The 11139-nt window shown below is 39.9% G+C and overlaps 1 pseudogene across 2 annotated transcripts in view; it reads left to right on the plus strand.

Annotated features, from left to right (window-relative positions):
* Nucleotides 1-9285, plus strand: part of BAGE2 (BAGE family member 2 (pseudogene)) — a 104778-nt pseudogene extending 95493 nt beyond the window's left edge. For both annotated transcript variants that reach the window (NR_169269.1, NR_169270.1), the window contains 2 exons: nucleotides 5133-5261; nucleotides 7329-9285. The product of NR_169269.1 is annotated as a BAGE family member 2 (pseudogene), transcript variant 1 (transcript). The remainder of the gene's footprint in view (nucleotides 1-5132; nucleotides 5262-7328) is intronic.

Genomic DNA, 11139 nt, shown 5'->3' on the forward strand with positions numbered 1-11139 from the left:
TTGCTCTGGCTAGGACTATGGTGAATATAAGTGTTAAGAGTAGGCATCCTTGCCTTGTAGCAGATATTGAAGAAAAGCTTTCAGTCTTTCCCTGTTGTAGGTTTGTTTTTGAATAGGCAATACCTGTGCATGATACAAGAAATACAAAGGTCTTAAAAAGAGTGAACAATGTTAAGTTAGCCTACCTTTTGGCCATCCCTTCCTTGGAAAGAACCAGTGTTTTCTTATAACTTTCCAGAGATTAGTCATCTAGATACAAGTATGTATATATGGGAGAATTTCTCATATTTGGGTGATAACGGTCTTTTTCTCTTTTTCTTTTCTTTTCTTTTCTTTCTGTCTTTCTTTCTGTCCTCGTCTCGTCTCTTCTCTTCTCTTTTCTTCGTTTCTTTTGATGGAGTCTTGCTTTGTCGCCCAGGCTGGAGTGTAGTGGCGCAATCTCGGCTCACTGCAAGCTCTGCCTCCCAAGTTCACGCCATTCTCTTGCCTCAGCCTCTGGAGTAGCTGGGACTACAGGCACCCGCCACCACGCCCGGCTAATTTTTTGTATTTTTAGTAGAGACAGGTTTTCACCGTGTTAGCCAGGATGGTCTCTATCTCCTGACCTCGTGATCCACCCGCCTCAGCCTCCCAAAGTGCTGGAGAGGCATGAGCCACCGTGCCTGGCCGATAACAGTCTTTTTCTTTATTTCAGCCTGTGGGAATCAGAAGGCCCTTGTGAAGATGTTGGTTAGAAGAGACTTTAGCCTACAGTGATACCACTTGTGTTAGGGCACTGTATGTGCTACTTTATGCCATTTGTCTCAACATGTATGCTTACTGGTGTCACTGTGAACCTCATCAATAAAAGTGCTCTCTTGGTTTTTACTGTCCTTGTGGTGCATTGTTTCAGGTGAAAGGTGGCCTTTGTGCTAGATCCAGTGCTATCCTTGGCCACAAACCATTACATATGATTAACTTGGGGATTTCCTCTTCATCATCCTGGAGATCATCTTCTGTTCTCTCCTGTGTTACATGTGTTTTCTGCAATTTCATGAATTTCTCTTTATTTCTTCCCTCAATTTGGGTGGAACGTATCTTCCATAGCTCCCTGACAGAGAATGTGTGGAAGGTAAGTTTTGAGCATTATATACTTCTGAAAATGTCTTTATTTTACCTTCCTACCTGACTCATCTTTTCCAGGTTGGAAACACATTTTCATTTATCATTTTTAGTCAATTGATCCACTGTCTTTTAGTTTCTAGTATATGAAGAACTCGGTTTTTTCTATGTGACCTGTGTTTTCTTGGAAGCTCTTAAGATTTTAGGAAATTCTTTGTCCTCAGTGTTCTAAAATTTCATGAGGATAACGTCTGTTTTTGTCTATTTTTGATATTTAAAATCTGTTTCGTTAGGCACTGAGTGGTCTCTTTCAGTCTGCTGTCTTATATCCTTCAGTGGTAGGAAATGTTCTTGAACTATATTATTGATAACAATTCCCTCTCTTTTTCCAGAATTCTGCTTTTCAGATGTGAAACATACTCAGTTTTTCTCTGCTTCTTTTCAATTCATGTCCTTATTTTATCTCCCGCTACTGAGTTTTGTTTTTATTTCAGTTATTTCAAGAGCTTTCTTTCCTCCCTTTGAATGTTTCTTTTGTAGCATCCTATTCTTGCCTCAAGGGTATCTTATATTATCCCTCAGAGGATTTTAATCCTTTTGAAGATTTTTTTTTCTTCCTACTTAGTCTGTTAATTCCAAATTGTCTTTTATGTTCTCAGGTCTCTGTCTTTTATGTTACAGATCAAGGGTGTTGCAGATCTTCTGGCTTCCATGGCCCACATTGGAAGAAGCATTGTCTTGGGCCACACGTAAAATACACGAATGATAGCTGGTGAGCTTTTTTTTAAAAAAAAAAAACCTCATAAAAAGTCTCATAATGTTTTATGAAAGTTTATGAATTTGTGTTGGGCTGCATTTAAAGCATCTTGGCTGCAGGTTGGACAAGCTTGTTATAGACCATTGTCAGATAATCTTTATGGTACATGCATGATTAAAAGTGAAGAACTAAAGATGGAGACTGGATAGATAGTATTTTTATTTTTAAAAAAGGAATTAAGTAGTTGATTAGAAAGCTTTGAGTATGTGGCGGTGCTTGTCGATTTGTAAGTTTAGTGGGGTGATTTGTGCTGACCATTTGGTGAACCCTCTGGTTTCAGTATCTTTAGATGTTCTTCTTGAACTGATCAGGTTCCCCACAACAGTCTTTTCAAACCTCATACTTGGAGGCTAGAGATCTGGCTGCTAGCTTTCTGAGAATTCAGTGGGGAAATGTGGGGTCCGGCAGCGGGAGCAGAATGGGGTTGTCCACAATTAGTATGCCCGTATTTTCTTGGTCCTATTTTCGATCTTCATCCCATTGTTCCATTTAAGGTCACCCAGGAATCCTCATCCCACAAATGAGAGTAGCAGCTTCTCAGTGTGTAAACCTAGGAAGCAGGTGTAGGAAGTATAACTTCTGCAGATAATTAAATCTCTTGTTGCTTCAGTTTTCTCCCACTTATTTCCAAAGGTGGCCAGTTTTCCTAGTTTCTCAGCCTTCTGAGGATTGTTATAAACTGGATTCTTTTTTTCAGTTCTTTCTGCTCTCAACTGAGAATTTGCCTTCGTTAACTTGTTTTTCTCCTTTCCTATTGTCTTTTTTTTTTTTTTTTTTTTTTTTTTTTTTTTTTTTTTTAAGGAGATTGGGTCTTTCTCTGTTGTCCAGGCTGGAATGCAGTAGTGTGATCATAACTCACTGTAGCCTCAACCTTCTGGGCTCAAGCAATTCTCTTCTCCCACCTCAGCCTCCCAACTAGCTGGGATTACAGGCATGCCACCATGCCACAGCTTGATTTTATCTTTTAAAAATAGATTATTTCAGTGTGTTTTTAGTAGGGTTTCAGGAGAATGTAATTTTAATGTATGAATTTAGTCTGCCACCTTAACCCAAAATTCCCTGTCATTAACTTTTAGGTGGGTTTATTTGAAGGTAAACAATTGGTATTGTCATCTTTGGTGCTTGTTTTTTTCAGTAATTTTCTTTTTTCTTTTCTTTTCTTTCTTTCTTTTTTTTTTTTTTTGAGACGGAGTCTCGCTGTCGCCCAGGCTGGAGTGCAATGGTGCCAACTTGGCTCACTGCAAGCTCTGCCTCCCGGGTTCACGCCATGCTCCTGCCTCAGCCTCCCACGTGGCTGGGACTACAGGCACCAGCCACCTCACCTGGCTAATTTTTTGTATTTTTAGTAGAGACAGGGTTTCACCGTGTTAGCCAGGATGGTCTCGATCTCCTGACCTCGTGATCCACCCACCTTGGCCTCCCAAAGTGCTAGGATTACAGGCATGAGCCACCGCGCCCGGCCTTTTTTTTTTTTTTTTTTTGAGAGATGGAATTTCACTCTTGTTGCTCAGGCTGGAGTGCAATGGCACGATCTCGGCTCACTGAAACCTCCGCCTCCCAGGTTCAAGCAGTTCTCCTGCCTCAGCCTCCTGAATAGCTGGGATTTTAGGCATGTACCACCACGCCCAGATAATTTTGTATTTTTAGTAGAGACTCACCATGTTGGTCAAGCTGGTACGGAACTTCTGACCTCAAGTGATCCACCTGCTTTGACCTCCCAAAGTGCTGGGATTATGGGCATGAGCCACCGTGCCTGGTCTATAAACTTTTCTTTTCATGGTTTAGTCATAAGTCCATAGCCATTATCAGATTGTTATGGAATTGGCCTTAAATATAGACCAAATATAATAAAAAAGAAAAGACAAATACCCTGTTCATGTCATTACAGAAATACGTTATCTCTAATACTGAGAATATTGAAGGAGTTAACAACTTGATTTTAAAATGTATTTGATAAACATATCTTTTTCCTGTAATACAATGTAAAGCATATATAACTTGGAAAAGTTTGATTACCATAGTGTTAAAATAGCATTCTCTAAAATAGCATTCTCTAAGCATTCCATTTACCTCATTCAGTGAAGTATTTATTGAACATGTATTAGGTATCCTACTAACAATACACCTGTTACTAAGAAAATCTGTGTACCTGTTCTCATGGAGAATATAGTCTAGCAGGGACACAGATTTTAAAGAACCAATAAAAATGAAGCATGACGTTCATACATACGAGCATACAACTGTTTGACATAATCTTATCTAAATATCAGGAATTCTTTAATACAGTGAAGTTTAGAATAAATCCTGAAAGATAAGTTAGGTAGAAGGCAGAAATTGGGGAAGATAGTGGAAGAAAGAGCTTGATACATTCAAAGAACTGAGCATAGTTCCCTGGTGGGAGTGAGATGAAGCTGGAAAGTTTACAAGAGACTGTTGTAATGGGCCTTGTAATTTGAAGTTTATTTTGAGGGCATTGGGAAGACATGAAAGGATTTTAAGCAGAAAATTGATACATATTTATAGAAAGATCATTTATGCAGTAATTTAAAGAATTGATTGGAGAGAGGTAAGCTTTGAGGTGGGCAACTAGATAGGAGCATATTGTATTAATAGTGAGTCATCTGAGGTTGGACTAAGATGGTAGTAGAGAGTGATAAAATGCATTTCAGAGGTATTGAGGAGTCTTGGTTGTAGGAGGAAAGAGATTAGGAATGATTAAGGTGGTCTTCCAGGCCTCTGTCTTCTCCAGGTTACATTTCCATGCCTTTTAATGATGATAGGTAACATGGGAAAAAGGAGAAAGTTTATTTTAAATTAGTAGTTCATTTTGGATACACAGTTTTCAGTAACTAGGTAATATTCAATTATAGCTGTGGTTGAAGCTCAGAAGAGAGTTCTAGTCTAGAGACCTGGACCTGAAGACATAATTAAAAGCAAGTGAATTTGTTAAGTGCAAATGGGTTGCACTTAACAGAACTCTGAGTTCTGTGTTCCCCTTCTCTGATTATGTTTTATTTCATGGGAACACTGCACTAAGCAGCACAATTTCTAGAACCATTTGGGGCTGCTTCTATCTCCTTTCATACTTTCCCTACCAACAGGGATGTACAATTAAAATGGCTCAGCAACAACCCTACTTTTTATTCCCCATGATGTAGGGATTATATATTTGATAGGTTTTTCCAGTTTTGTGTATACATTTACTTTTTTCCAGAAGGAGAACTTATGGATTGTGATGGAAAATCAGAATCTAGTCCTGAGCGGGAAGCTGTGAATGATGAAACTAAGGGAGTGGAAGGAACAGATGGTGTCAAAAAGAGAAAAAGGAAACCATACAGACCAGGTATAGTGCCTGAGGTAGACATTTCAATATCATCAACACTTGGTTAATTAAAGAAAAATACAATACTGAAGACTTCAATTAAAATTAAATATTCAGGATTAAGAACTGTCTAAACAAAAAAATGTGCACATAAATTAAAGAACTAAACTATTTGAATACGACTTTTTAGCTCTAGAGTTCTTTATTTTGAATATGTGAATACTTCACAATGAATCATTATTGAATGCCTTATCCCAAATGTTAACCATTTTATTAAATGCTTTACTAGATTGGCTTTTGTTCATACTTGGACTTTGAAGGCCATTTATATAGTTCCTCTGGATGTGTACTTCTGTAACGCTTTTAATTTTCAGTATTCACTTTCTAATATCTTTTTTTGAAAAAACTTATTTCAGTGTTTATGCAGGAGTGCCAGTAAGTATACAGTGTGAAGGGGAACAAGACAGAGTTATTATGGCTCCTAGAATTTATAGTCCAGTTAAAAACCATGATTGATTAAACACTCATTTCTTATCTGCCTCAGGAGTGGAGAGAAAAGCGGTCTTGCCTGTCAGTTTTATTTGCCTTATTGGAAAAAATTATTAAAATTGTCACAATACAGAAGTTGTAGGCTTTTATGTATTTATTTAAAATTTTTTTTCCCGCTTTTCACACGTGTTGAGTAGGCTTTCCTTAGCCAGTTTATTAATGTCTGTTTACCAATGAGGTTTTAAATTGGATTCGTACAATCTTTATGCTTCTTATTGCTTATATTTTATTGGTAAGAGTGATCTAAATCCCTTTTGATATGTAAGGAAGAACTTTCTTACTTCATTCGTATTCCATGAGACCTTAAAAGATAACCTGTCTTTTAAATAGGTCATATCTATAATAAGGACCTACGGTGAGTTGCTTCTAAATCATTTTATGAAAATGATTTCATTTCTTCCTAATCATGAGGCTTATAAGTGTACTTTTTTAGACATTGCAGATTTCTTCCAGGAACTTGTATTTACTGTTTTCTTTTCCTCTGCCTCACATGGAAGTCAACCCTCTAATTGAGGGACCCATTAGGTCACAGAGTATATTGCTAGACAGCGATATCATTTCACAAAAGCTTATAGTGTTGACTGTGTACCAGACCTCTATTCTAAGCACTTCACTTATGTTATTTGTCCTTTTAACATATGTATGAGAAGCTGCTTTGCCTTACCCCCATATTTAACCAGTGAAAGAATTGAGGCATTGAGAAGTATTTAGTGAGTAAGCAGAATTACATAGTCTGACTCCAGATTCCACGCTCTTAACCACAGGGCTCTATGTGTCCCATGTATAAATGCCCTCATACGTTGGAGTACCAGACACTGTCCCCCTGAAATCATATCAGTCAAAGAATATTTGTGTCATCTAGGTAGTTTGTGTCTTCTGTCCTCCAGCTAATGTACCAGTTAGCCGGTTAATATACAGACACAGTCATCCATCACTTAAGTTCAGAGAAATACATCATTAGGCATTTTCATCCTTGTGTGAACATCATAGAGTGCACTTCCACAAACCTAGATGGTATAGCTTACTACACACTTAGGCTGTATGGTACGCTAAATTCATTTAAAAAAATAAAGTAATTGTGCTACGGTGTTATAACTACGGTGATGTCTGTATGTGGTGGGAATTTTTCAGCTCCATCATAATCTTATGGGACCACTGCCTTGACATGCAGCCCTTTGTTGACCAACATCATTATGCAGTGCATGACTGTTATGTGATGTATGAGGCACTAATATTTGTCAAATAGATAAGCCAGCGTAATTTAGTGTTTGATATTTACACTGATACTGTTGAGAAGAGGAAGTGCACACAGGTCTTTTTGTATTCTGTTTGATAAGTGGTAACAGTGGCTTTGCCTTTTTTTTTTTTTGGTTGTTTTTAACTTCTATTTTACCTAAAACTCAGGTTATTTATTTAGACTAGCACAGACTTAATTTTGGAAAATGACTTACTATTCAAGATAAAGCATTTTTATCCTGTGTACTGTGGAAACGTAGGGAGAAATTATTTATCAGTTTACCCAATTTCTTTTTTGGATAGGTATTGGTGGATTTATGGTGCGGCAAAGAAGTCGAACTGGGCAAGGGAAAACCAAAAGATCTGTGATCAGAAAAGATTCCTCAGGCTCTGTTTCTGAGCAGTTACCTTGCAGAGGTGATGGTATAGTACTGACTTAAAATTTTTTTTTTTTTATGTAACCCCTTGGTCTTGATATTTCTATTGGAAAGAACTATCCTAAATAATGTTACAGTCAATAAGAGCCTTATTGCCTCTTATTGTTACTCAATAAGAGTCTTATTGCCTTTTATTGATGAAAGGATTTGAGTGCATATAGAGTTCATATCTGTAATACAGCAATCAGGTTTTATAAGGAAATGGTTTAAATCCAATAGACTTTATTCTTTTGAGATTTTTTGACAAGCTCTTTTTTCCTGTATCAAATTATTAAATATATTTTCTATATTTAAATATAAATGGTTTAGGGACTGAATAACTTAGTTACATAAAGTACTTTATGGTCATCTCCAAAGCCTTTCTTTGACTGCCTTAGCTACTTATCATATAATTTGAAATTCTCAAGTGACAGTGCACCTCAATTTTTATGTATGTATGTATGTATGTATGTATGTATGTATGTATGTATGTATCTATCTGTCTATCTGTCTATCTATCTATCTATCTGCCTATCTTAGGGTCTCACTATGTCATCCAGGTTGGCGTGCAGTGGCACAATCATGGGTCACTGCAGCCTTGCACTCCTGAGCTCAGGCAATTCTCCTGTCCTCAGCCTCTGATGTAGCTGGAGACCACAGGCACACAACCACCATGCCTAGCTAATTTTTTGGCTTTTTGCAAAGACAGGGTCTCACTTTGTTGCCCAGGCTGGCCTAGAACTCCTGTGCTCAAGCGATCCTCCTGCCTCAGCCTCCCAAAGTGCTGGGATTACAAGCATGAGCCAGCCACTGCGCTCAGCCCTCTTCTTACTATTATTATTATTATTGTTATGGTTGTAGAAGTAACCTGAAATAGAGATACATTTAAATATCTGAGTGAGTGATTTCAGCAAAGGAGAGAGACCCTGTGTTACTATTTTAGGAGTGCTCTTGATTGTGTGAACCCGTTGAATACACCACTTACTAACCGAGCCCGGCCATTTTGCTCAGATTATTCAGAGCTCTCAGGCCCATTCAGAATGAAATTCAAAATCTTTACCATGGCCAGAAAGATCCGTGCAATCAAGATGCACCATCCCCATCCTAATTTCCGGGCTTGTCGCCACGCCAGCCACAATGCCATGCTGGCCTCCTTGCTGTTCTTTGAGACACTGGGTGCACTTTGCTTCAAGGACTTCGCTTGCCTGTCCCTGAACCTGGAATGCTCTTCCCCTAGAACTCCTTGTGGCTGCCACTGTCACCCCCTTCAGATCTTTATTTAGATGTGTCTATGATGAAGCCTTTCAGGGCCGATCTATTTAACATTTCCCTCACCACCCCTCCACTCTGTAGCCCCTTTGCCCCTTGTATTTTTCTCCATAGTACTTATTATAATATCTAACACACTATAATATCAAATGTTAACTCCATGAGGATAGGCATTTTGATCTATTTGGTTCCCTGCGGCATCTCCAGCACCTAGAACAATGCCTGGTGTACATAGTGGGTGCTTATTAGGTACATGTCACATGAAAGAGGAAAAAAACGAGTGTATTAAAGAATCCAGGAGCCGGGCGAGGTGTGTCATGCCAGTAATCCTAGCACTTTGGGAGGCTGAGGTGGGTGCATCGCCTGAGTTCGAGCCCAGCCTGGCCAACATAGTGAAACCCCGTCTCTACTAAAAATACAAAAATTCAGCTGGGTGTGGTGGCAGGTGCCTGTAATCCTAGCTACTAGGGAGGCTGAGGCAGGAGAATCGCTTGAACTGGGGAGGCAGACGTCGCAGTGAGCCAAGATTGCGCCATTGCACTCCAGCCTGGGCAACAAGAGTGAAACACTGTCTCAAAAAAAAAAAAAAAAAAAAAAGAATCCAGGGAGGCCAGGAGCAGTGGCTCACACCTGTAATCAATCTCAGCACTTTGGGAGGCGGGCAGATCACTTGAGGTCAGGAGTTGGAGACCAAAATGGTGAAACCCTGTCTCTACTAAAAATTCAAAAATCAGCCAGGTGTGGTGGTGCACGCCTGTAATCCCAGCTACTCAGGAGGCTCAGGCAGGAGAATCACTTGAACCCCAGAGGTTGCAGTGAGCTGAGATCACGCCACTGCACTCCAGCCTGGGCGACAGAGTGAGACATTGTCTCAAACAAACAAACAAACAAACAAACAAAAACCCAAGGAGCACAGAACAGCTACATATTGGAACAGCTAAATATTGGAGTACCTACTGTGTGTTGACCATTCCACAGCATGGAGGAAACTGGTCTTCCCTTGGAAGAGCCTCCCCACTATTCAGGTGGTAAGAGAAATAACATACCCAGGGCTAGGCATAATGCAGACAGTGTTATAAAGGAGGCATTGAACAAAGGAGAGAGTAACTGAAGGAGGTGGCATTTTGAGTGACCTTGGGGCCGATTAGGGTGGTTACAGGTTGATGTTTATATATATGGCATATATGTTGGGGGATTGGGTGGCGGGGAGGGGTGCAGGCAGTCAGAATAGAGCAAAGAGAGGAGTAAGTATAGAATGGTGTATCAAATGTTTATCCAAAAGCAGGATATGGAACTAGTAAACATTTTATTCACAGTGTGTATTTTTTTTGAGAGGGAGTCTCGCTCTGTTGCCCAGTGGCATGATCTCGGCTCACTGCAACCTCTGCCTGCTGGGTTCAAGTGATTCTCCTGCCTCAGCCTCCCAAGTAGCTGGGATTACAGGCGCACGCCACTACGCCTGGCTAATTTTTGTATTTTTAGTAGAGACGGGGTTTTGCCATGTTGGCCAGGCTGGTCTCGAACGCCTGACCTCAGGTGATCAGCCCACCTCTGCCTCCCAAAGTGCTGGGATTACAGGCATGAGCCACTGCACCCGGCCTGTTGTCTATATTCTATTTTTTTTTTTTCTGAGATGGAGTCTTGCTCTGTCACCCAGGCTAGAGTGCAGTGGCGCGATCTTGGCTCACTGCAACCTCTGCCTCCAGGGTTCAAGCGATTCTCCTGCCTCAGTCTCCTCAGTAGCTGGGATTACAGGCTCCTGCCACAGTGCCCAGCTGATTTTTTTGTTTTTTTAGAGGAGACGGGGTTTCACCATGTTGGCCAGGCTGGTCTTGAACTCCTGACCTTGTGATCCACCCGCCTCGGCTTCCCAAAGTGCTGGGATTACAGGTGTGAGCCACCGCGCCCAACCTGTTGTCTATATTCTAAAATTTGGATAATTTGGATATGGTATAGTTTATGTGGCCATTTTCTTTTGGTGAACATGTAGGTTGTTTCTAGCTTTTCGCTATTGGAAACAGTGCTGCATCCTTGTGTATGCTTTCTGCATGAGTGATATTTCTCTAGGATACATACTGTAATTATATGCTTGTCTATTTTTTTGTGTTTTAATTTATTTAATGTCTGTGCTTCCTGTGAAAATACAAGCTCCATGAGGGGAGGAATCCAATTTGTTTTGTGCCGCACTCTTTAATTATTATCTAGCCAAGTGCTTGGGAGAAAGGAGAGGTCAATAAATATATACTGAGTGAATCAGGCTGAAAGATTGGCTGGGACCATGGTGTGGTTTTGTATCCTAAGAGAGGGAGCCTGACTTATTTTGGAAAAGTAAAATTTTTTTTGGAGAATTTCACACAAAGCAGTAGCAGGATGGTTATTGGTGGAATTTAGGAAAACGTATTCTGGACTAGAAAGAAGGCAGGTACAGG

Source organism: Homo sapiens, chromosome 21, assembly GCF_000001405.40.
Source record: "Homo sapiens chromosome 21, GRCh38.p14 Primary Assembly".
Lineage (NCBI taxonomy): Eukaryota > Metazoa > Chordata > Mammalia > Primates > Hominidae > Homo > Homo sapiens.